At 39.7% G+C, this 27,548-nt stretch overlaps 1 protein-coding gene, 1 non-coding gene and 1 pseudogene across 7 annotated transcripts in view; 2 read left to right on the top strand and 1 right to left on the bottom strand.

Moving 5' to 3' along the window:
* On the bottom strand, positions 2,920-3,116 carry BCYRN1P1 (brain cytoplasmic RNA 1, pseudogene 1; annotated as a pseudogene).
* MCF2 (MCF.2 cell line derived transforming sequence) overlaps positions 15,528-27,548 on the top strand; it is a 126,398-nt gene continuing 114,377 nt past the window's right edge. For all 6 annotated transcript variants that reach the window (NM_001099855.2, NM_001171876.2, XM_047442112.1 and 3 more), the window contains exon 1: positions 15,528-15,589. The gene's annotated coding sequence lies outside the window, so the exon portion shown is untranslated. The remainder of the gene's footprint in view (positions 15,590-27,548) is intronic.
* LOC124905269 (small nucleolar RNA U13) lies at positions 21,305-21,408 on the top strand. The gene has a single exon (XR_007068433.1). It is a non-coding gene; the product is annotated as a small nucleolar RNA U13 (small nucleolar RNA).

Raw genomic sequence — 27,548 nt, 5'->3', positions numbered from 1 at the left:
GGCCTAAGTTTTCGTTTTCCCCCTTTCGTCTAATCTGAAGCTGCTGAACTGGGCCTCAGCACCGGTACTTATTCAGGTATTTTCCAAGGCAAGTTTTAGCTTACTACCCCTGCTTCCCACCCTTGGAGTGAGAATACAAGAACACTTCTTTAATTTTAATAATGAAATTAATACAAGGAATAGATTACACAGATAGTATAGCTGAACAGCCCATTGGGGATTCTGTGAAACGGCCCAGAGATTACAAAGAGGCAGAGGCCAGAACCATCCTTAGGTTGTGGGGGCAATAGGAGGAAATCGACTTCTGGAGCCAATGGCCTGGTCATTTGGCAGAAGTCGGAATCACTGTGGGCCTATCAGGAGCAGCTGGGGCCACAGCAGAGCCATGGCCACTATTGGAGATGCAGCCTGAGGCAGAAATACCCTGGCTTCTGTCCCCAAGCCTCCAGTCTGCCTTCCATTAGCTAGACCCAGCTAACTTGAGGACCTGAGAAACAATACAAAACAGAGCAAAGAAGTACAAGGAATGTATCTGAGGGTAAATAGGCCAGGGACTAGCACATCAAGGATTTAAGGAGTCAGGTTCGGATTTATACTCTTAAGAGTGTGTATAAACATAAAGGTGAAACTTTAAGGGGCTAGATTTCATCCCCTTTATAAATGTCAATTATATATCCCATATGAAGAAAATTGCGGAAAAACAAGTCACTCCTGTAACATATTTAGTGCAATACTGATGATAATTTTTAATGGATGCTTGAATTAATGGAAATAGAGGGTCCTTGTATAATCAGCCTTCTTAATTAGTAATAAAGACACTTAGCATTAAAAAAGACCTAAATAAAGGAGTTAGCATATCATTTCATAGATAAATGAAATTCACATACATCATATTCAAAATTCAAGAATAATTCACCAGGCTCTGGAAAAAAAGCTGCAATATTAATTGCAAAGGAAATGACTTTCCTTCTTTTCATCCTTCTGCTTCCACTCATGAAATAGAAACTGTCTTCCTGCAGGAAGCATGTGGAAGAAGGTTTCTGCCCTCCCCTCCTCAATTAGCTGACTGGTGAGACTGGAGAAGGGGGTTACTCCACATGTGTGGTTTAGCCCCACTTGGGCCCTTCCTCTTTCAGAACTGCCAGCTTGCAGGCTGATCACCTTCCTTTCTCCATTCCCAAATCCTTCATGCAGTATGCTCAGTGCGGGCAAGGAATCCGATAGGCAGGGTGGAGGAGGTGGCTCTAGTTTTCTAGCCACTCAGTCTGTGATTAAATGGATAAATTCAATTCAGAGAGGAAGGAATGGGAAGTCATTTTGGCCTCAGACTAGGCCAAGTTTTAAAATGCATCTTTGCAAATAATAGATTGCTATTTTGTCTGCTTCAGGCGCTGCTGTATTCTTAGTGCCTAGAGCAATGCTGGGGGAGCATAATGTTTAAAAATATTTGTCGAATACACAAACGCATTATATCTCTGATGTCTGGCTTATTTCTTGACTGGCTTTGAACTGAGAGGGGAGAGGGATATGACAATTAATATATGGGGCATTTTCACCCTTATGTTCTCCATAAACATGGCCAGCCTCATGCTCATTACTTTAGAAGTATTAATATATGGCACCAGGAAAGCATAAGATTGCCTGCAGAGCTTCTTGGCTTTTCTGTTCCACGGGCAGATCATTAAGAATGTAGGTTTTCAGAGGAGAGGGAAAAATGGGTGTCATGGGCATAGAGTGTCTTGGAACTACATGATTACAGAAGCCTTTCCTCAAATTGGAAGAACAGAATGCCCCAGGCTGCAGGGAGGAGAAATGAGAAAGGATCTTTTAGTGCAAAGATCAGGTCAGACCACTGTTCTGCTGAGCAGCACCTTCAGGGAAACAAGAACAGAGAGGACAATAGAGGGGTGCTTCAAGGCAAATGGCATCCTAGCCAGCATTGGCAGAAACCATTCCTCAACATGGCAAGAACACAGAACAGCTTCTGGCCCTGGAACACATGATGCAGATAGGGATAATGGACCTCCTGAGTGGTAATGTGTGTGGATGATGATTGAAGATAAGACAGGTGTCCTCCATCTCCAACACCTTGACACTGCATTAGCTCCAAGAACCATAGAACAACCCTAGTGAAAGGGGGACCTCAGGCCAGATAATTTTCATTCATACATTCAGTCACCCATTCATTTATTTAGATACCTCTCCAGAATGGGAGCTAGGCAGGGTCCAAACTGAGTTTAATTTTTTAAACGTATTTATTGAGTGCCTTCTCCCACATTTACTACATTCCTTAACAGCTGCCTTTAATATTATTTTTAAAGCATTATCTCTTTCATTCTGCTCTGTCAATTTCTACATCGTTGCATTTGCTAGACAACTGCAATTATTCTTTGGGGCATTAAATTTTTTTCTTCAGGTCATCGTGGGTGGAAGTCTTTTTATAATATGTTGCACTCATCTCTGCCTTCATATGCAGAAGGCACAGAATACCACCTCACCTTCTCAATAACGCTGAGTCATCATTATGGATATCCACTAAAGGACTCGGCAATAAGTACAGTAGTGCCAGCCTTTCTGGGTCTTCACACTGCTTAGCTTTAGGAGGATATCGTATTTCTTTCTATAGTCTTCCTGTCAGCTCCCTTGCTCTCATTGTCAATATTTAATTTTTGTTACGCCTATTGGTCCATGTCTACCTTCTTCCTCTTGACTTCCCCCACAGATTTTTTTTTTTCTTTTTGAGCCAGAGTCTCGCTCTGTAGCCCAGGCTGGAGTGCAGTGGCGCCATCTCAGCTCACTGCAAGCTCCACCTCCCGGGTTCACACCATTCTCCTGCCTCAGCCTCCCGAGTAGCTGGGACTATAGGCGCCTGTCACCACGCCCGGCTGATTTATTTGTATTTTTTTTTTTTTAAAGCGGGGGGGGGGGGGGTTGTTGCTTTGAGGGAAGTTACGCTTATTTTTTTTTTGTCTTTTGTTTTTTTTTTTCCTTTTTCTGGAGAACGGGGTCTCGCTATATTGCCCAGGCAGGTCTCGAACTCCTGGGCTCAAGCTATCCTCCCGCCTCTTAGCCTCCCTGAGAGCTGGGATTACAGGCGTGAGCCACTGCACCCGGCCCACAGATTTTTTTTAAATTATAGCATGTAACTGACTAAAAATCCAGAGTAGTATATCAGAACCTAGTGTATACTTTTGGACTGTACTGCACTCTCAGGGTACTGCTCTCTTCTTCCCACCCCAGAGTCCCCGGAACCATGTAAAAACCTCTGCAGCTGGCTGCGTAGTCACTGGTTCAAGATATTCCTCTAGACCTCTCTGACCTGCTTCCTGTGTTGAGCCTCTCATGCATGGAATTCCAAAGGGCTAGACTCATTGACCTTGCTGTTTATCTTCCCCTTTTGTGGAGACTCCACGGGACACTGCTAATCTTTTTGCCTTTGCCTCCATGCTCCACAGCCTAACAACCCAGGCTGTCTCAGGCTCCCAGGATGCTGCAGACCAGCCCTCCAGCTTGCCTTTCTCTTCGGGAAGGAAGAACAGACACTGTATACGAAATGATGAGGGACAGGCTCTGGGTGAGGCAGCCCTAAGAATTTTTCTGAATGAAGTTTATGGGCTTTAACGCATAGGCTTTGGCACCAACCATTTTGTCTGCTCAGAAATGTTCTGATTCTTTGGGGTGTTTGAGATAGTTAATATTGCCTGGTAAATGATTTCTGAGGAGTACTTTGACAATGAATTGTATAATTTGCTAAATTCAGGTGTGGCAAAGGGTCACTATTGTGTAGGGGAGACAGTATGATATGGTGGAAAGAATACTAAAAGCAGGGGGATCTGAGTTCAATTTTTAGCTCACCCATGAACAAGTTATATGACTTTGGGCAAGTCACAATCTCTCTCAATCTCAGTGCTCTAATCTGTAAAATGGGTATGTATTAGGTTTCTCCAGAGAGACAGAACTGACAGAGAGAGAGAGAGAGAGAGAGAGGCATGGAGAGGAGATTCACAGGGAAATTGGCTCAGGTGATTATGGAGGCTGAGAAGTCCCATGACAGGCCATCTACAAGCCGGAGAATGAGGAAAGCCAAGTAGAATGGTGCAGTCCAAATCCAAAGGCCTCAGAACCAGGGAAGCCAATGATATAACTCTCAGTCTGAAGCCATAGGCCTAAAAACCTGGTGAGCCATTGGTGCTAGTCTTAGAGTCCAAAGACCAGAAAACCTGGAGTTCTGATGTCCAAGGGCAGCAGATGAAGGGTGTTCCAGCTCCAGAAGAAAGAGAGTGAATTCTCCTTTCCTCTGCCTTTTTGTTCTGCACCCTGAGCAGATTGGCTGATGCCCACGCACAATGGGTAAGGGTAGATCTTCCTTACTTAGGTACACTGGTTCTAATGCCAATCTCTCCTGTAAGCACCCTCACAGATATACCCAGAAATAATGCTTTGCTAGTTACCTGAGTATCCCTTAATCCAGTCAAGTTGACACCAAGAACAATTCATAATGGGGGAACATACCTAACCTGTAGTGTGGAGAGAGTTATATGAGATCATGCATGTTAACACACCTAGCACAGGCCAGGCATGGCAGCTCACACCTGTAATCCCAGCACTTTGGGAGGCCGAGGTAGGCAGATCACCTGAGGTCAGGAGTTTGAAACCAGCCTGGCCAACATGGCGAAATGCTGTCTCTACTAACTATACAAAAATTAGCCGGACGTGGTGGCGGGCGCCTGTAATCCCATCTACTCGGGAGGCTGAGGCAGGAGAATCGCTTGAACCCGGGAGGCAGAGATTGCAGTGAGCTGAGATTGCACCACTGCACTCCAGCCTGGGCGACAAGAGCGAAATTCCATCTCAAAAAACAAAACAAAACACCTAGCCCAGATTTTAGCTTTAGCATATACTAGGCACTCAGAAATTGTAAAACATCTTAACAGTTTTATTAAACCATAAAATAGGAAACAACCAAAAGGAAAAAAACAATGCCTTCCCAAAGCATCCAACCTAACCCCATAATTTTACATAGAAGAAAACTGAGGTCCAAAGAAGGGGAGATGATATGTCCAGAGTCACACAACCAATTAACTACAGAGGCAGGACCAGATGTCCTGTCTCTGGAATTAGGAAACAGCACTTTTCCCCATTTCAAATACTTCCAATGTTTTGAATTTCTGTAATCAACAGTCATTAGTTTTTTCTTCTGTTTTACTTTCCACTTGCTAAACCCAATTTTGCCTCCTGGAGCAACACAAAACAAGATTACTTCCTCTTTGACAAGATAGCTTTTCACATATTCCAAGGTTACCTTCATGTTCATTGATTTCTATTCCAAGATCCCCATCTCCAGTGCTACCAGCTCATCCTTTGTATGGCAAGCTCTCCAGAACCAACACAGTTCCAGACACCTATCTCTGGCTAGGCTCCCATTCATCAATGTCTCTCTTAAAAGGTGGCACTTAGAGCAGAGTGCAATATTGCAGCTACGTGGCAGAATGATTAGCTTCCTCAGTCTATTAACTCTGTTTCTCTTGTGGCAGCCAAAGACTGCATTTGCTTTATTTTTGTTGTTGTTGTTTTGAGACAGGGTTTCGCTCTGTCACCCAGGCTGGAGTGGTCCAGTGGTGCAGTCTTGGCTCACTGCAACCTCCACTTCTGGGGCCCAAGCAGTTCTCCTGCTTCAGCCCCCCAAGTAGCTGGGATTACAGGTGTGCACCACCACTCCCAGCTAATTTTTATATTTTTAGTAGAGACTGGGTTTTGCCATGTTTGCCAGGCTGGTCTGGAACTCCTGGCCTCAAGTGATCCTCCCGCCTTGGTCTCCCAAAGTGTTGGGATTACAGGTGTGAGCCACTAGGCCTGGCCCTGCATTTGCTTTCTTTATCAGTCACTTCATGCTGTTTGCCCAGATATTTTTTACATAAATCGTTGCCAAGCCATGGGTCCCTATATTACTGTCCCTGGGCAGATGTAACAAATTACTACAGACTTTGTGGCTTAAAATAACAGAAATGTATTCTCTTTCACAGTTCTGGAACCAAGAGCTCTAAAATGAAGGTGTCAGCAGGGCCACACACTCACTGAAGGTTCCATAAGAGTCCTTCTTTGCTTCTGCCAGTTTCTGGTGGTTCTAAGTCCTTGGCTTATGGCTGTATAATTCCTATCTCTGGCCTTCTCCTCTCCTCCCTTTGTCTCTCTTTTGTGTGTATCTTACAAGGATTCTTGCCATTTAATTTAGGACCCTCCAGGATAACCTCATCTTGAGATCCTAAATTTAATTACACCCGTAAAGAGCCTTTTGCCAAATAAGATCACATTCACAGGCCCCAGGGATTGGGGCATGGACGTATATTTTTGAGGACCACCAACCCACTACAGCTTCCCATCCTCTAATTGTATAATTGGTTTTTGGAGCATGAAGGCAGAACTTTTTAGTTACCCTTGTTGTTCTAATTTCCATTTCCCAGATCACACTAGCTGGTTTAAAAATTGCATCAGAATAATAGGAGTATGATGTTTTGCTGATTTTGTGCTTACCTGCTACTGTGGGACCCTTAGTCCCCCACCAAAGTCATCTCTTTTGCACGTTCTCGTAAGAGCTCATGGACACAGCTCTCTCCATATGGCATCTGAAGGTCTCTTCTGTTTCTTCTCTGCCTCCCACAGTGAGATATCTGTGGCCCCAAAGCTGCTGTGAAGGTGTTCCATGGCTGCCTGATTACACTAATACCACCTTTCACCATGGATACCACCATGCAATTGATGCTATCTTCTCAGATGTAGGTGTCATGGGGGGAATCCCTGTCTCCATCTCTTTTGTGATCCCTAGACAATTTCCCTTGTGTTCCCTCCATCTCACACAGATAACCTATAGTGCCATGTTTGTCTAACAGGAGGAGGTCCCATGGGGTCTGCTTCCCCGTGGGCCTGAGGCAAAGGACAACCTGAGTGATGGAGACATATGCCTCCTGAAATTGGGCCAGAGTCCCAGGTTATCTGCTTCCATTACTCTCTGTGCTTCCCTTTTCATGTCACTTGTTCAATATCTTCCTTCTCTGCTGGCCTGCAGGCTCCATTGAGGGCAGTGAATAAATCAGTCTTGTTCATCGGTAGATCCTTATTGCCTAGTGCAGTGCCAGCCACACAGTGGGACCCTAAGGAAATGTTTATTGAGTTAATAAGTTCTGAACAACTAGTGGCACTAAATCACCTGAGAAAAAGTTGTGAGAGTCACGATCTGTCACTCTGTACCTGTACCATTATCATCCCAAAGCAGTATGGCATGGGAGGTAAGCATGTGGACTCTGCCACTTACAAGTAGGGTGACCTTGAGCAAGTCACTTAACATATCTGTGTGTCAGGCTTGTCATCTGTAGATTGGAGATATTATCAGTACCTACATCATATGGTTGTTGTGTGGGTCAACTACATGTAAAATGCTTAGAGCAGTACGTGGCACAACATAGGCCCTATATAAATTTGATTAAATAATAACATCATCCTTTATTATCTTACATATTTCCTCCAATTATACTTGAGAGCTCCTTTAAGGACAGGGGCCTTGTCTGCTTTTGCTCCCCATATATCCCTCAGTGGCTAGTATAGTATCTTGAAAATAGTATGACCTCAATATTTGTTGAATGAATGAACAAATGAACCTACTATACTAAGAATATTTCTCCTTCTAATAATTAGCCTAATTACTGTCTGTGGGCCTTGACATATTCCGTAAGTGACTTCCTTCCTATGAGGCAACTCAGTCCCTTTCTTGGGATCTAGACCTGCTGCCAAGTCATCTTTCAGATCTTCTAGACATAACTCCCTTATGGATGGATTCTGGAGAAAGAACAATTTTAGGTCCAAGTGGAGACGTTGCTACGCTGGACTTTAACCTAAATATCCCAATCTGCTGAGATATTTAAAATCTTGGTTCTATAATCTCTGGTAATAATGCTACCTCCGAAGTCTGTAGCATCTTGCTAATTTTATATACATGCCTTTTCAGATTTGATTCAAGTCATCAATTCCAAATAAATAACTTCGTTTGCCTGCAATAAATTACACAACTCTATATTGAAAATTGTCTATGGGAAAGAACTAAAGGTATAATCATTACAATAACAAGCCAGCAATCATGAATGAGGAAATTCTAGAAGTAATAACTGCTTTTTGAACACATAATAGATGATAGCTAATGTAGAAGGTGGCAGACATTAGTGATTTACACTACTGAAAAATAGTGAATGTAATATTGAGTTCAATACTAAATTCATATAAAGAATCAACTTGAGAGTGTAATTTCCTCGTAAGATAGAAGTATCAGAGTCAAATATGTTTTCAGTACAGTTCAGCACGATGCATATTTGCAGGAGAAATTCTTAGACTTCTCCAATAATTAGGCTCATGTGAGCTATCATAGGACAGATGGCTCTGCTATTTAAAACAAATTATAACCTTTAAAGATGAACATGTACTACTGAAATCTAAGTATAACTTTGCTTTGCATTTTAATTGAATGGTACCATTATTTAATAGGTGAAGCTGATATGAAGACTTCGGAGTGTTTTTTTAAAATAAAGTAAGAATACATCATAAATGACAAAAATATTAGGCAAAGCTTATTTATGCAATTTGCCAATATTTCTGGAAGCTTGAAAAAAGCCTTTTCCTGATGTTTAAATTATCTGTTCTATTGGATAATTTTGGAACTTAAAAGGGATGACAAATTTTTATCTTGTTTTTTCCCATGCCTTAAAGTTACCATGTGTGTAAAATTTGGATAGCAATTTTAACTTTCATGTCAATCACTGATGTGTCATCAAAAGGTGTGTGTAACATAGTGTTCATTGATGGCACACTGAATATTTTCCCCCAAAGATTCTACTTTTGACGATGAAAAATCTTCTGACCATTTGATTGAAATCACTGCCTAGTCCAGTGTTTAGATGTCAGTGTTTTGGGCCAGGTGTGGTGGTTCACACCTGTAATCCCAGCACATTGGGAGGCCAAGGTGGGTGGATCACCAGAGGTCAGGAATTCGAGACCAGCCTGGCCAACGTGGTGAAACTCCCTCTCTACTAAAAATACAAAACTTAGCCGGGCATGGTGGTGCAGGCCTGTAATCCCAGCCACTCGGGAGACTGAAGCAGGAGAATCGCTTGAACCTGGAAGGCGGAGGTTGCAGTGAGCCAAGATCGCGCCACTGCACTCCAGCCTGGGTGACAGCGTGAGACTCCATCTCAAAAAAAAAAAAAAAAAATCAGCAGTTTATAAATGAGTAACTAGTTTTAAGAAGGGACAAGGCATGTTGAAGATGAAGCCCACAGTGGCAGGCCATCTACATCAATCTGCAAGGAAAAAAATTTATTTGCACTGTAATTGAAGAGGACCAACAATTCCCAGAAGAAACAATAGCCAACACCATAGATATCCCAATTGATTCAGCTTACAAAATTCTGACTGAAAAATTAAAGTTGGGCAAACTTTCCACTCGGGCGCCAAAACCATTGCACACAGATCAGCTGCAGCAGAGTGTTCAATGGCAATTCAAACAAATGGGATCAAGATCCTGACAGCTGTAACAGGAGATGAACATGGCTTTACCAGTACAATCTTGAAGACAAAGCACAATCAAAGCAATGGCTACCAAGTGGTGGAAGTGGTCCAGTCAAAGCAAAAGTGGACCAGTCAAGAGCAAAAGTCATGTCAACAGTTTTTTGGAGATACTCAAGGCATTTTGTTTGCTGACTTTCTGGAGGGCCAAAGAACGACAACATTTTTAGCACATCTTTAGGCACAGCTTTAGCAGAAAAAAATGCCCAGGAAAACTTCACCAGAGAGTCCTTCTCCACCATGACAATGCTCTTGCTCATTCCTCTCATCAAATGAGGGCAATTTTGTGAGAGTTTTAATGGGAAATCATTAGGTATCCACCTCACAGTCCTGATTTGGCTCCTTCTGACTCTTTTTTTGTTTGTTTGTTTCCTAATCTTAAAAATCTATAAAGGGCACCCGTTTTTCTTCTGTTAATAATATCAAAAAGACTAAATTGACATCTCTTTCCTAAATGGCTGGTATCATCATTTACCAAAGTATCTTCATCTTTATGGAGCTTATGTTAGAAATAAAGTTTATATTTTAATTTTTATCTTTAAATTTTATTTTCCACAAACTTTTTGAAGTCCTCTCATATTTGGAATTTTTAACAATAGAGGTATGAAAGAACAAATTCTGCAATTGTAATCTGTTAACCTTATTTCAACACTACTTTGATATTGAAAGCCTAGACATGTTTGTCTTCACACTTATTAAAAAGCTATTGTCAGTGGGAAATGAGTATGCTTTCATGCTTAGTAAAAAATACGTATTCAAAATCATAGACAGTATGATCTCAAAATGACTGAAAAAAAAAGCCATAATGTTAACTGTGGTTGCCACTGAGTGATGCAATTTAAGGCTAGGGTTCGCTTTTCTGTTTCTTTATGCTTTTTCATAGTTTGCAAGTCTTCCACAATGAGCGTGTTTTACAAAAAGTGACAAAATAAAAAATAAAATCTTTATTAATAAAAGTGTAGCAAGTTTGAACAGTTTAGTACTGTACTCCCATTTCGTATGTACCAGCTTTAATCTGAAGTCCTGTTGTAACTTTGTTAGCGAACCCTTTTTGGTTGATACTGAAATCTGCACTGTGGATCCATAACAGCTGTTCTTTTGTGTGAAACACGGTACAAGTGAAGTGCTGTGCCTAACACCAGGGCTCTGATGCCTCTGTTCACTTACAATTTCATTTTCAAACATGGGAAGCTTCCATGATAGAGTAACTGAGTATTGCTTGGCTGCAAATTAAAGACAGCGATGTGGGAACACAAGTTCCCTGTGCGTTTTCTGAGTGAGCACTTTCTCGGATGCCTTTCATTATCCCTCTCCTCTCAACTCTTCCACTCCCTAGCTTCTCTTGTACAGTGGTCAGTGGGGTGATTTTCTTGTACCTCCACTCTCTGTGCCCTGGGTTGGGAATATCACACCAGTATGGTGCCAATGAGTGTTCACAGAGAGTTGGAGAAAAGAGGTGGCAGAGATTAAAATGCATAAATCATAGAATTCCCAAAAGAATATTTTTAAGACAAGTTAACAAGTAACTCTGTCCTTTTGGTACAAGAAACAAACCAGAAAGCAAACAAAACCCATAAAAACTATTTGTTCAAATTGTGAAAACTATCTTGCATTATTATATTGTAAGAATAAGTTTAGAAAACTGTTGCACTTCAGGCAAAAGTCCATTTTAATTGACCTGAGGTTTTGCTAAATTCAATAAGAATTTTATTTTTTTCTGATTATACTGACGATACTTGCTCAAAATCAAGCAATACCTAATAATATAAACATAAAAGTCACTTAGTATCACAACCCCCCTGAGGTAACCATATTTTTTTGAATATGTATATGTATATATACACATATACACAACATATATACATATATAATTTTGTATCTATTGAACTATGTTATACACACTATAATTTTAAACCATAAAAAGTCGTATGATTGTTCTATATAAATTAATTCATATATATATGACTTTTAAATAGCTGTGTGGCATTTCATTTATTTCATGCACATGGTTTAACTATTTCCTAGTTTATTATATAAATTTCTCCTCCTCCTCTTGCCTGCTATTATGAATAACATGGCAATGTATTCTGTACAAAAATATTTCCATTCCTGCCCGAGTAGCTTCTTGGTGTAAAGTCAAAAATGTGGAATTCCTGGGGCAAAAGATATGTACATGACAAACTGTCTTTGAGAAAAGCTATATGAATCTGTGCCCGCAACAACAGTCAGCCAGTTTACCCTCCCCATTCTCAGCATTAAGTGCTCTCCATCTTTAATCATTCCTCATAGATCTGGGGTCAGCAACCCAGTCAGCATCTTTAGGGCTGTAGGGAAAAAAAGGTAATGAAGAATGTCTGACCAAGACTATATGTGGCCCACAAAGGGGGACATTTCTATTATCTTAGCTGTTTACAGAAAAAAAAATTTGCCAACTCCTGGATTAAAGGAAAAATAGTGTTTACTCTTGGTAATATTAGCTTTTCTTTGCTTATTTGTGAGTTCCAATAGATTTTCCATGTACATGTGGGTGTTTATATTTCCTCTTTTGTCAATTACACTTCCTTCACCCATTGTCCTATTAAGTTGCTCACCTTTTTTACTCATTATAATTCTGTATATTAGAATATGTGCATGTTGTCATGTATTTCACAAATATTTTTCTCTGTGTCAATTAATCATTAAGAATGTATCTTTTATATTGCACAGAAAGTTTTAGTGTTTATGCAATCAAAGCAAATATTCCGAGAATGATAGCAGGTGCTACTTTAGATATGGTAGTAAAAGAAGTTCTCTCTGACAAGGTGACATTTGAGCAGAGAACTGAATTAAGTGAGAGAGGGAGCCATTCATATATATGGATGAAGGGGAATCCAGGCCATGTGAACAGCAAATGCCCAGACCCCAAGATAGGAGCTTTCATGGCATATTGGAGGTACTGCCAGGAGGTCACTGTGACCAAAATGGAGGGAGATTGGTAGGAGTTGAAATTAGGTATGGAAGGATGAGAGCATGTAGAGCTGTGTAGACTATGATAAGGACATTAGATTTGATTCTGAATTCCAGTAGAAGTCTGGAATATTATGAACAGAGGAGTGACATAATCTCACTTAAGTTTTAAAAGGATCACTTCTATTTTTGGTATCTTTTAAAAATATGTGTTATATTTTCTTGTTGTAAAGTAAATGCATGTCCATTTTCAATTATATAGATAACATACAAAAAAGAACCAAGTAAGGATGATAGTATTTTAATAAGCTTTTCTGGATATATATATTTACCTTTATCTACATATATTAAGGTTGGGACATACCTTAAAGATCTTCTGGCCCAGAAATAAATCCAGGCATTTATGGTCAACTGTTCTTCAAAAAAGTTGCCAAAAACACACAATGGAGAAAAGACAGCCTCATCAATAAATGGTGTTGGGAAAACTGGATATACACATGCAAAACAATGAAATTAGACACATCTCACACCATGTGCAAAAATCAACTCAAAATGGATTAAAGACTTAAAGGTAAGACCTCAAACTGAATGTTCTCACCACAAAGATATGACAAATATATGAGGTCATGGATATGCTAATTACCCTGATTTCATCATTATACAGTGTATACATGTATTAAAACATCACACTGCACTCCATAAATTTTATATATATATATATATATATATATACATATGTATGTATTTGCTATGTGTCAATTCAAAATAAGTAACATAGAAGAAAAGTTTCTTGACATTAGTCTAGGCAGAGATTTTTTGGATATGACCCCAAAAGCACAGACAACAAAAGGAAATATAGACAAATGGGATAGCATTAAACTAAAAAGTTTTCTGTACATCAAAGGAAACAACTGAGTCAAAAGACCATCTATGGAATGGGAAAAATACTTACAGACCATACATCTGATAAGTGGTTAATACCCAAGATATATAAAGAACTCAACTCAATAGCAAAAAGTAGTAAATAACCCAATTAAAAATGGTCAAAGAACCTGAGTAGACATTTCTTAAAAAGAAGACATACAAATGGCCAACCAGTATATGACAAAATGTTCAACATCACTTATCATCACAAAAATGCAAATTAAAACCACATTTAGATAACATTTTGCACCTGTTAGGGTAGCAATTATCAAAAACATAAGATAACAAGTGCTTGTGAGGATGTGGAGAAAAGGGAGCCCTTGTTGGTGGGAATGTAAATTAGCACAGCCACTATGGAAAACAGTATGAATGTTCTGGCCCAGAAAAAATCCAGGCATTTATGGTCATATTATCAATTACCATATGATCCAGCAATGCCACTACTGGGTATATATCCAAAGAAAATGAAATCAGTCTGTCAAAGAGATATCTACACTCCCATGTTCATTGCAGCACTCTTCACAATAGCCAAGATATGGAAGCAACCTCAAGAAAATATTTTTTATATATACTGTATATATATATATATATATATATATATATGAATGATAGCATTCGTGTCTATATAGTGTATATATATACGAATAGCATTCGTATATATAGTATATGCTATATATGCTATGTATATAGTATATGCTATATATGCTATGTATATAGTATATGCTATATATACTATATACATAGTATATATAGCATATACTATATACATAGTATATGCTATATATACTATGTATATAGTATATGCTATATATGCTATGTATATAGTATATGCTATATATGCTATGTATATAGTATATGCTATATATGCTATGTATATAGTATATGCTATATATGCTATGTATATAGTATATGCTATATATACTATACTATATATACACAAATGCTATTCAGCCTTTAAAAAAGAATGAAATTCTGTCATTTGTGACAGTACGGATGAACCTAGTGGACATTATGCTAAGTGAAATAATCCAGACACAGAAAGAAAAATACTGTATGATCTCACTCCTATGGGGAATCTAAAAAAGTCAAACTCATAGAAGTAGAAAGTAGAATGGTGGTTTCCAGAGGATGGGGCAGGGTTTTGGGAGATGTTGGTCAAAGGATGCATCATTACACGTAGACAGGAGGACAAAGATCAAGAGATCTATTTTTTAATTTTTAAATTTTTTTTCATATTTTTATTTGTATATATTTTTTGAGATGGAGTCTTACTTTATTGCCCAGGCTGGAGTGCAGTGGTGTGATCTCAGCTCACTGCAACCTCTGCCTCTTGGCTTCAAGCGATTCTCCTGCCTCAGCCTCCTGAGTAGGTGGGATTACAGGTGTCCGCCATCACACCCAGCTAATTTTTGTATTTTTAGTAGATATGAGGTTTCACCATGTTGGCCAGGCTTGTCTCGAACTCGTGACCTCAAGTGATCCACCCACCTCGGCCCCCCAAAGTGCTGGGATTACAGGTGTGAGCCGCTGCGCCCTGCCAAGAAACCTATTGTACATCATGATAACTATAGTTAATAACAATATATTGTGTACTTGAAAACTGCTAAGAGAGTAGATTTTACATGTTCCCACCACAAAAAGGATACATATGTGAGGTAAAGAAAGTATTAATTAGCTTGATTTAGCCATTCCAGGATGTATACATACATCAGAAATCATATTGTACACCATACAATTTTTATTTGTCGTGTACAAAAAAAGATATGCCCAGCTTCTTCTGCATTTTGTGCAGAAGTATTTTGTTTTCAAACTGTCGGGCTAACTCTTGAGTGGGCGTTCTGTTTCTCCAGATTTGTCCTTGTAAATAAAAAAAAAAATTAGGTCTCCTTCCTCTACTGTGATACAGTGTATGATTTATAATTTTGTTTCTGGGTTCTACTTCAAGTCAAGGCTTCTCTACACTTTCAGTTGCTGACATCAGATTGGCTTTGAAACTTTTTTTCATGTTAAGAGCAAGAAGGCTTTTGTTCTTGGAGCAGGCAGAGAGTATTGTACATTCTTTTGGCCGAGGAAACAGAATGAGCTGCGACAGTCTTAAGGACAAACATTTGTGGTAAGTATTTCTTTACCTTAGAGTAATATAAGAAATGGATTGGGGCAATGAGTGGGTCAGTCTTGGAATATTTTTATAGATAGCATCCCCCATAGCCAGTCATTTTCATTCTTGTAGTAGTTTCCCCTTTTCCCCAGAATCCCCCATTTCTAGGACCAATGATTTGCAGGACACAGTGCAGTTCTTGTAAAGGTGTATCTGTCCATACAGACCGCAATAGCCTGCTTTGGGTTTCTCTGACAGTTCTTTGTCTACTGTTCAGTTTTTTCTAAAATAATTAGGATTCCCAAGTAAAGGCAGGTGGGAATTTCTCAACTCTGGATTAGAACTTCACCACTGTAAACCTGGAACTATTAGTATAACAAATCTGGTGTGCACCTGGGCTTCATGGGATGGCTGTACCTTGGTGTGGTTCCTATGCAATGTATGGGCCTCAGTCTCTGAGCCGTCTAGGGATTAGGACTTGAGAAATTGCCTTGTGAACTTGCATATGGTTGGCTTATAAATTTGGACAGCAGATTATTTATTTTCAGTGGGTAAAAGACCATTCCATTATTTGTGTCCAGTTCTTTTTAAGCACGCAAATTTTCCAGACCAAGAAGAACTACCTTGGTCCCCAGAAGGTAGCCGGGGGGATGTAGACTTGGAGAGCAAAGAAAAATGGGAGGTCTTGAGGGCAATCTTCCAAAAGAATATGGTGATGTTTCTCACATTTTTTAAAGCAGGGTCTCTAGTGAGGCAAAACCACATTTTATTCTTGCCTCTATAGTATTTATTTGTGGAGGTAGAAAGTTTCTGGGGAAGGAGTGGGACTGTTTATATGAAGAACCTAGAGGTCTTCTCAGAATGAAAGGATTGGAAACTCCAACCCTTTTTTTCTCTGATATGCAAGGTTCTTGAAAGTTGCTTGAGGGGCCCAAAAAGATCCTAAGGAAAACTCACCAAACTTGGTGAGAAAGAGGTAGAAAGGGATGGGAGCAGCTCCCTCCCAGAGCCCTCCATCCTTCTTTTTTCATCTGAGCTGGTTACTCTGCCGGCTAGCTGCACATCTCTTTCTGAAATTCCCTTTGTCTGTGCTCCTGTATCGGATCATTATTTCCTAGATTCATTGTCTTGCTCTTCATTGATGTACTTCATCATTTTTTTGGGGAATACATTCTCTACTAACTTCTTTATATGGGTTATAAACTTTTATTAATAATAATAATAATAATAATTATGTCTGAAAATATCTTAGACAACCTTTATTTTTGTTTGAGAGTCTGACGCAGTATAAAGTTCCAAGCTGAAAAACCTTTTCCCCCCTGATTTTGTGTTTATTTTTCCATTAGTTTGTAGAATCCAGTGTTGCTATTGAGAAGTTCAATGTCATTTTGTTTCATTTTTTTTCAACTTTAATTTTAGATAAGGGGGTACATGTGCAGATTTGTCATATGGGAATATTACATGATGCTGAGGCTTAAGGTACAGATCCTGTCATCCTGGTAGTGAGCATAGTACCCAATAGTTGTTTTTTTTTTTATCCTCCCCACCTCCCTGCACCCTCTAGTAGTCCACAATATCTGTTGTTCCCATATTAATGTCCATGTGTGCTCAATGCTTAGCTCCCTTCATAAATGAGAACATGTGGTATTTGGTTTTCTGTTCCTGCACTAACTTGCTTAGAATTATGGCCTCCAGCTCCGTGCATGTTGCTGCAAAGAATGATTTCTTTCTTTTTTATGGCTGCCTAGTATTCCATAATGTATATGTAGCACATTTTCTTTATCCCATTTACCACTGATGGGAACCTGGGTTGACTCCATGTCTTTGCTATTGTGAACAGTGCAGTGATGAACATACAAGTGCATGTGTCTTTTTGGTAGAATAATTTCTTTTGGGTACATACCCAGTAATGGGATTGCTGTGTCCAGTGGTAGAATTGTTTTAAGTTCTTTCAGAAATCTCCAGACTGCTTTCCACAGCGGCTGGACTAATTTACATTTCCACCAACAGTGTATAAGTGTTTGCTTTTCTCTGCTGCCTTGCCAGCCAGCATCTGTTGTTTTTTGACTTTTTAGTAATAGCCATTCTGACTGGTGTGAGATGGTATCTCATTGTGGTTTTGATTTGCATTTCTCTGATGATAGTGATGCTGAGTATTGTTTCATATATTTGTTGGCCATTTGTATGTCTTCTTTCGAAAAGTGCCTGTTCATGTCATTTGCCCACTTTTTAATGGTGTTATTTGGTTTTTACTTGTTAATTTTTTCAAGTTCCCTATAGATTCTGAGTATTAGACCTTTGTCAGATACATAGTTTGCAAATATCTTCTCCCATTCTGTAGGTTGTCTGTTTGCTCTGCTGATAGTTTCTTTTGCTGTACAGAAGCTCTTTAGTTTAATGAGGTCCCACTGGTCTATTTCTGGTTTTATTGCAATTGCTTTTAGGGACTTAGCCAAAAATTCTTTACCAAGGCCAATGTCGAAAAGAGTATTTCCTAGGTTTTCTTCCAGGATTTCTATAGTTTGAGATCTTACATTAAAATCTTTAATCCATTTTTAGTTAATTTTTGCATATGGAGAAAGGTATGGGCCCAGCTTCAATCTTCTGCATATGGCTAGCCAGTTATCTCAGCACCATTTACTGAATATGGAATTGTTTTCCCACTGCTTGTTTTGGTTGGCCTTGTCAAAGATCAGATGGTTGTAGCTGTGCAGCTTTATTTCTGAGTTCTCTATTCTGTTCCATTGGTCTATGTGTCTGTTTTTGTACCACTACCAAGCTGTCTTTATTTGTTTGTTTGTTTGTTTTTGAGACTGAGTCTCACTCTGTCGCCTAGGCTGGAGTGCAATGGTGTGATCTCAGCTCACTGCAACCTATGCCCCTGGATTCAAGCAATTCTCCTGCCTCAGCCTCCCCAGTAGCTGGAATTACAGGTGCCCGCCACCACGCCTGGCTGATTTGTGTATGTTTTAGTAGAGATGGGGTTTCACCATGTTGGCCAGGCTGGTTTCAAACTCCTGACCTCAAGTGATCTGGCCACCTCAGCCTCCCAAAGTGCTGGGATTACAGATGTGAGCCACTGTGCCCAGCCACCCAAGTTGTTTTGTTTACTGTGGCTTTATAGTGTAGTTTGAAGTTGGGTAGTGTGATGCCTCCGTCTTTGTTCTTTTTGCTTTGGATTGCTTTGGTTATTTGGGCTCTTTTTTGGTTTCATGTGAATTTTAGAATAGTTTTTTTTTTTTCTAATTGTGTGAAGAATGCCATTAGCAGTTTGATAGGAATAGCACTGAATCTGTAGATTGCTTTGGGCAGTATGGCCATTTTTATGATATTGATTCTTCCAATCCATGAACATGGAATGTTTTTCCATTTATTTGTGTCATTCCTGATTTCTTTCATCAGTGTTTTGTAGTTCTCTTTGTGGAGACTTTTCACCTCCTTGGTTAGGTGTATTTCTAGGTATTTCATTTTCTTTGTGGCTGTTGTGAGTGAGACTGTGTTCTTTATTTTTGTTTAATTTTTCATTTCCACAGGTTATTGGGGAACTGGTGGTGTTTTGTTACATGAGTAAGTTCTTTAGTGGTGATTTTTGAGATTTTGGGGACTGTGTTCTTGATTTCACTCTCAGCCTGGATGTTGTTGATGCATAGAAATGGTACTGATTTTTGTACATTAATTTTGTATCCTGCAACTTTACTTAAGCTGTCCAAATTTATAAGCCAATCATATGCAAGTTCACAAGGCAATTTCTAGGAGCCTTTTGGCAGCATCTTTAAAATTTTCTAAGTATAGATTCATATCATCAAGGAAAAGAGATTGTGTGACTTCTTTTCATACGTGGATGCTTTTTATTTCTTTCTCTTGCCTGACTGCTCTGGCTAGGACTTCCAGTACTATGTTGAATAGGAGTGGAGAGAGGGCATCCTTATCTTGTTCTGGTTCTCAAGGTGAATGGTTCCAAATTTTGCCCATTCGATATGATGTTTACTGTGGGTTTGTCATAAATGGCTGTTATTATTTTGACGTATGTTTTTTTTTGATACCTAGTCTGTTGAGGGGTTTTATCATGAAGGGATGTTGGAAGTTATTGAAAGCTTTCTCTGTGCCTATTGATCCTCTGTAACAGATTTGCTTCTTTCCAGCTATAAATATTTAAGTTCTCTTTCATGTCTGTGGTGTACTTCAAAATTCATAAGGATGTATACCAGTGTGGTTATTTTTGAATAATCTCATTTTGCATTTGATAGGCCCTTTTAATACAAATATTCTTGTTCTTCAGTTCCAGAAATTTTTTTTCTATTTCTTCTATTATTTCTTTGAAATATCCTTCCCCATTTTCCCTTGTGTGTGTTTTTTGTTTTTTGTTGGTTTGTTTGTTTGTTTGTTTTGACAGAGTCTCGCTCTGTCACTCAGGCTGGAGTGCAATGGCACAATCTTGGCTCACTGCAACCTCCACCTCCTAGGTTTAAGCAATTCTCCTGCCTCAGCCTCCCAGGTAGCTGGTATTACAGGCACCCGCCATCATGCCCAGCTAATTTTTGTATTTTTGTAGAGATGGGGTTTCACCATGTTGGCTAGGCTGGTCTTGAACTCCTGACCTCAGGTGACACCCCTCCTCGGCCTGCCAAATTGCTGGGATTACAGGCATGAGCCACCGTGCCCAGCCTATCCTTTCCTATTTTCTCTGTTCTTTTTTTCTCCTGGATTCCTGTGTGATATTGGACCTCCTGAATTTATTCTTCATGTCTCTTATCTTTTTTTCTCACTCAACACTGAGACAATTCCACTATACTTTGCTAGAAACTCAATTTCTCACTCTAAAATAACAATTTCACCCTTCCCTTGTATCCTCAAATTTCCTACACTCACTCCTCTCTCTTCTCCTGATCACTATCATCTAATGACTTCAATTCATGACTTAGAAGAGAAAATAGATACAGAAGGTGTATTAGGGCACATTACTGGGATTAACACATGCAGAAGAGCAGGGAAGAGAAGGAAGAAGGCTTCGTGACAGAAGCCTCATGCAACCTTACAAGAAGTTCTGAAGATTGGATAATTTGCCGCAGTGGTCCCCATTTGGGACCAGGGAACTGGCCCCTGATACCCCAAGTTGTTCAGTCATTTAATGTGGGATGCCTTTGGAAGGGGCTATGACCTTGGCTAGGTAGCTCTTTTCAGCTGAGGCAATCCCTGAATAAGGCTGACAGCCAAAGACTTATCTGGCAGCCTTCTCAACAGATGGGGTAATAAGTCCTTCATTCCTGAGGGAGGATCCGAAGGGCACATTACAGTGTCTACCACATCAGCTACCTGCACCTATCAGTGTTGTCCTGATATTGGCTCGAACCAGCTAGTGAGGGCCAGCTCTGCACTTCCCTTCCCAATTTTGTATTCAGTGACATTGTGTTGGTAACTTAGGACTTTTCTGTGGAAGTTTTAAAGTTTCACCAATCTTTTTCAGGTCTGAAAGCTCTCTTTCTTTTTCTCCAATTGTTCTTTGTTCACAGTATTCCGTTATTGTTTATGGATTATAATAATGATTTGAATCTTTCAGTGTGTAACCAATTAGCATTGTTTTTAAAGTTCACTGTTCCCTGAACTACGTCTGTTTCTTTCAGAGATTTTTTTTCCATTTATCATTCCTTCCATATATCATCTCTTCAACTCTTAAAGGACCAGGCACTGTGTTAGGTGATGGGGACACAATAGTGAACAAGACACGAATAGATCCTTCTTTAGTTCATAAGCATGATGATTGGGTTTTCATGTACATGTGTGAGATGTGCCTCCCTCAAAACTTGTTACAACATTGGCACATTACCTGTCTGACATGAAGGGAAAAAAAGACGTAAAGGGTTCCTGTTGTAGACATTTTTTTCTTGTCACAGAAAAAACTAGTAAATATACAAATAAATAATATTATTTAAGGAAGTTGTCATTGCTATGAACGAACAAAATTCAGTGGATGGAGCATATGGGAGTAGGGGGATGTCTGTTTTAAAGAATAGGCTGGGACCATGTCTCTGCTGTGATAGTACTTGAACAGAGACCTGAATACAATCTGGATAGCAGGCCAGGTAAACCATTGCAGTGGGAGGCAGCCCCAGGGGTGATAGACTCTGAGAAAAGAACAAGCACTCTGTGTTCCAGGAACACCAAGAAGGCCAGCGCGGTTGGAGCAAAGTGTACAAGGTTAAGTTTGACAAAGCAGGCAGGGCCCAGATCATTTTCACTGTTTGTCTTGGTCTTCTTTTGCATTTGGTGACTTCTGTCTGTTGGGGTTCTACCCGAGAAACAAGAACTAGTAAAATTTGTACATGTATATGTAGAATCTTATGTGTGTGCTTTACATTTGTGTATTTGTGTATTTTTAAATTGTGTATTATATACATTATATACATGCCTGTATAATCTATTGACAGAGTGAGACACACAGAGGCAGAGAAAGATAGAGACAGAGAAAGGGTGTTTTTGTAGTAGGTAGGTGGTTATTTCAAGAAATTGATTTTCAGGATCATGGGGTGCTGGCTAGGCAAGTTTGAAATATATAAAGCAGGCCAGCAGGCTGGAAATTCTCAGGCAGGAGTTGGCACTTCAGACTTGAGGCAGAATTTCTTCTCCTTCAGGGAAATTTTAGTTTTGCTGTTAAGACCTTCCAACTGACTGGGTGAGCTATGGTTTTCATGGATAATCTCCTTTGTTTAAAGTCAACTGACTGTAGAAGTTAATCATATCTACAAAAACCTTACAGCGACACCCAGATTAGTGTTTGATTGATTAATTATAGCCTAGCCAAGTTGACACGTAAAAGTAACCATCACAGTGACTTACCTCAAACATTTGGTGATCTTAGCCTGCCTGTTCATATTTAAGGGTGAGATCTAGAAAAACTGGTGGGGGTATTTATAGGAGAAGATTGCCAACTGGAAATCATTGCTTTAGGGTGACCAAGAGGAGGTATAGAATCTTATAATGGGAAACCCCTAAATACCAGATTGGGAAGTTTTTCCCTCCAGAGGGCCTTCAATTTCCCCTGAAAAGTCTCTACTCCCTTGGGAGGAGGGGATGTGCTATGTGTGGGTGCTGTCCTTCGATAATGAGTGGATCTGGGGAGGCAGGAGGGACTTTTCCCACATTAGAGTCTTTTAATGAATGTCACTGTTTTTAGGCATGAGCCTCACTCCTACCCTTCACAGCACCTGGTGTCTCCAAATCGCAAGGCTTCCCTTTGGTCCATATTCCTTTCTGTGAGCCTATCTCCCACCTCATCCTAAGCTGGGGTTCCCTGAACATTTACTCATGACTTTATCTACTTTTGACCTTCCAAAAATAGTGGAAATAGTGTGTTTCATCTGCCATTTCAAACTACACAGACTAATTATTGCATGAAACAGCCTTTAAACATTGAAGGGAAGGGAAGGAAGGAAGTGTCTTTCTTTGTATCCTGAAGAACCACAGTGGCCTGGGAGAGGTCTGAAATAGCAACAGCCACAGAGCCAGTGACTGAGATGTAGCCCAAATGCTATAGACCTCTGGGTTTCAGTGGACCCCCAAGGTCCCTGGATCCATGGCTTGGTCTGAATATGGGCAGTGGCGGTGAAACTCTCCTCCAACTACAAGGGTATTTCCAGTCATGCCAAAATATCAATATTCTATTAAAATGGAGATATCGTTATCTTCTTCTTCCCAATATTATAACGTGCTGTTCCTCCTGGGGGAGGCTCAGATGAGGCTGTTCTGTCCTTCTGGGTTGAGTGCCTCCAGACAGGATGATTGAGAATGAAGATTCTGGGTCGAACAAATTATCACAGGAGGGGTAGGCTCCTAAGAAAAGAAATCTGGCTTGGATGGAAAAGGAGGAAGGAAGCAGAAGGAACCTAAACCAGAGAAAAGGAAGTGGTCAGGTTAAAGGGAAAACGTTGGAAATTGGGCCTAAGAATCTCCCAGCACCTATTCTCTCCTCTCATCATCCTCCATCACAACTTCGTTCTCATGCCCCCATTTTAATGCCCACACCCTAGTCTAAATTTATTCCATCAGGGTCCTCTGAAAGAAGACCAAGGACACAAACAGACTCTGAAAGAACACATAAATGACTAGGAAACAGAAAAAGATGCTCGACCACACAAGTAACCCAGAACTAGCTATTTCAACAACAATAAGAGGCCTTGGAAAGTTTGTCCTGAGAATACTTTCAAAATGAGTGTATCTCTAGCTTGAAATTTTAATACAGGATATTCTCTGTGCACATCCAAAGATTAGATTTCAGATGAAAATGACAACGTTCTCAGGAGAAAAAATATCGTGTTAGTTTTAAAATATCAGGGTTTCAATATTTCTATATTTAAAAAACATGGTATCTATCAACTGATGAATGAATAAACAAAATATGGTCTAGCCATACAATGAAGTATTATTCAGCCTTAAAAAGGAATGAAATACTAATACATGCTACAGCATGGTTTAACCTGGAGAACATGCTAAGTGAAAGAATCCAAATATAAAAGTTACATATTACAGGATTCCATCTACATGAAATGTCCAGAATAGGTAGATCCATTGAGACAGAAAATAGATTAGTGGTTTCCTAGGGCTGGTGGTGATGTGGGGCCTTAAGAAGTGACAGCTAAAGGGTACAGGTTTCTTTTGGGGACGATGAGATGTTCTAAAATTAGATTGTGATGGTTGTACATCTCTGTGAATATATTAAAACCATTGAATTGTACACTTTAAATGGGAGAATTGTATGGCATGTGCATTCTATCTCAATAATGCTGTTACAATAAAAACTATGATACTCTGGAATACTGGAATCCTTAAAATTGATACAGTAATTGCTAAGAGGTGAATCTCTTCATTGATTGGGAGACTAGACTTTATAAGCTTTAAAAGCACTAAGATTCCCTTAAGACAGAGGAAGACTGAGAATTACAGAATTTTGTTCTGGCGTAATGTTAACAAGCTGCAGATCTGCAAAATTATAATTCATTGATACGGTTATTTTCATTTCAGAAATGCTAGGATTAGAGTCAGCCAACTTACAGTCTAGATCTAGTTATGCTTTGGACAAATGGCACAAACTTGGGCAACTCAGCTCCTCAAAACCTCAGTCTCCTCACCTGGAATGTGGCAATAAATAAACTGGGCCTTCCTTGTACATGTTTTGGGAGGATCAAATGAGATGACAGAAGAAAAAGTGCTTACAAACATTATGCAAATGAAGATGGTATACTTATTATTAATTTTGTAATTATTAGTAGTAACAGCAACTGTATATCAAATTAAGATGGTAAACTGCTCATCATGTAAAGACTTGATTCTTTAAATTTGTCCTTATATGAACTAAACAACATGTCTTACATACTAAGTCCTCTTTGTACATTTCTTATTGGTCATCGTTGCCTAAGAATATATATTTTTGAGAAATAACCAGGTCATATGTACAATTATGGACCTTAGCGTGAGTCTATTACCTATACTTTTATCTTCATGTGACCTATATAACCAGTCTGGTAAAACTAGTTTTGTTAGGTCAAGCTGTTTAACTTGGTCATCTAGCTGTTTAACTTGGTCATCTTTTCAGATGGCAGTCTTCAGTCCCAATTCATGTCAGTAAATATTTGATTGGGTGGCACAGAAATTCAGAAAGAAACAAGCTATTCCCATTTCACTGAGCCTAAACTCATCATGCCTAATGTGGAAAGAGGCAGTTCTAGCTAAAAATTAAAGAAAGAGTTGGGAAGTTATGATTCCAAACTCCTATTCCTGACTCTAATTTTGCCCCAAGCAGTTAACATTTACATTTCCAATATATCATCATCGTTTGAGCAAGTACTCAAAGCATTTCATTTACAGAAGTAGTTGTTTGCTCTATTACAAGTATAATTGCATTGGAAATATTCTTAAACTTTTTACACAGCCTTTGGCCATCAGAACAGAGCAAGGATTTTTATTTTTATTTTTATTTTGAGACAGGGTCTCACTTTGTCACCAAGGCTAGAGTGCAGTGGCACAATCGTGGCTCACTGCAGCCTCAATCCCTGACCTCCAACCAGGCTCAGGTGAGCCTCCCACTTCAGACCCCAGAGTAGCTGGGACTACAGGGATGCACCACTACACCCGGCTAATTTTTGTATTTTTTATAGAGACAGGGTCTCCCTTTGTTGCTCAGGCTGGTCTTGAACTTCTGGGCTCAAGTAATCCTCCTACCTTGACCTTCCAAAGTACTGGGATTACAGGCGTGAGCCACCGCGTCTGACCCAAAGCAAGTTTTAAAGGGGCTACTTCTTTTAAAGCACAACAGAAATCATATTTACCTCTGAAACAATATTTTCTTCTGAAAGGAAAGTTTTGGCCTTTAAAATGGCAACAAATTGAAGATCTATAAATGGCAACATATAAGAATAAAATTTCTGAGGAATTTCCTGAGAAGGGGTAAACATCAAGTCAATGTCAGGGCCTGGATTCAGGTCAATTCATTGACCAATCTCTTTGGGCTTACTTAGCTGAGGGTGTCAAAGTGACTCCCTTGCATTTAACATACTTTTCAGGATTTTTACATACATCTAAGAAGCCTCCATGATGCCAATCTGGAGTTAGATTATAATGTATTCATCATAACGTATTAGTTTGGATTTTTTTGGTTGCAAATGATAGAACCCCAACTGTAAGCTAGTTTAAGCACAAAAGAAAATTTATTGATCTATGTAACTGAAAAATCTAGTGGGTGGATATTTCTTCAGTCATGGCTGGATCCAGATGTTCAAATAATATCATTAGGAATCTGTCTCTTTACATGTATCAGCCCTGTTTTCATGATATTGGTTTCATTTTCAGGCAGCCTGTCTTTGCGGCCTTAGGTTTACCTCATCTTTGTAACTAACAATTCAGTGAAGATAATCTCTACCTTTCATTGGTTCCAGAAATTACTGGGATTGTGTATCATTGCTTCAAACTTATCACAGTGGCCATGGGGACAGAATACACTCATTTATTTGGCCTGGACTACCCTCCTGCCCTGAAGCAGGGGTTTGCTGGAAGTCTCATCTGTGTCACATGGATTTAGAATGGAATAGGGAGACTCTCCATGGGAATGTTGAAGTACATAGATGCCAACTAGGCAGGCAAAAACTACCAATGTCCCCTGCATACATGGCAAAGAACCTAATGTTTGAAACTTGATATAGTCCTTTATATAATCTTAAGTAATTTATATAAATTGTGAGGTTGCTATTATCCTTATTCTATAAATGAGGAGTTTTCATTTGGTAACCCCCTCACATGTCAATAGACTTCCTGAATTCTGTAGAACCTCTCAAAATCAAAGGTAGTAAGGATATTTTTACTTTTATTGCCTATCTCCATTTTCAGCATTTCAGAGGTTCTGGTTTCTCAAAACCTATGCCTAATTTACTATAATGAAATAATATTCCAGGCCACGGTGGGCAGATCACTTGAGGACAGGAGTTGGGGACTAGCCTGGCCAACATGGCGAAACCCCGTCTCTACTAAAAAAAAAATAGAAAAATTAGCCAGGCATGGTGGCATGCAACTGTAATCTCACCTACTTGGGAGGCTGAGGCATGAGAATCGCTTGAGCCCGGGTGGTGGAGGTTGCAGTGAGCTGAGATTGCGCCACTGCGCTCCAGCCTGGGTGACAGAGCAAGACTCTGTCTCAAACAAAAACAAAAGACTCTGTCTCAAACAAAAAGAAAAGAAGAGGAGACGAGATGAGAAGAGAGGAGAGGAGAGGAGAGGAGAGGAGAGGAGAGGAGAGAAGAGAAAGAAGGAAGGAAGGAAAGAAAGAAAAGAAAGAAAAAGAAAGGAAGGAAGGAAGGGAGGGAGGGAGGGAAGGGAGGGAGGGTATTCCCTCTTACTCAAATTCCCTGTGTCCTACTCAGGAGTGGTAAGATTTAGGCAGATGGTGTAACACCTTACCACATCACATTAGAGAGAGGAATTTGGTATAAGG

The sequence above is a fragment of the Homo sapiens genome, chromosome X, assembly GCF_000001405.40.
Source record: "Homo sapiens chromosome X, GRCh38.p14 Primary Assembly".
In the NCBI taxonomy this organism is placed as follows: domain Eukaryota; kingdom Metazoa; phylum Chordata; class Mammalia; order Primates; family Hominidae; genus Homo; species Homo sapiens.
This window is presented reverse-complemented; position numbering and strand designations above follow the sequence as displayed.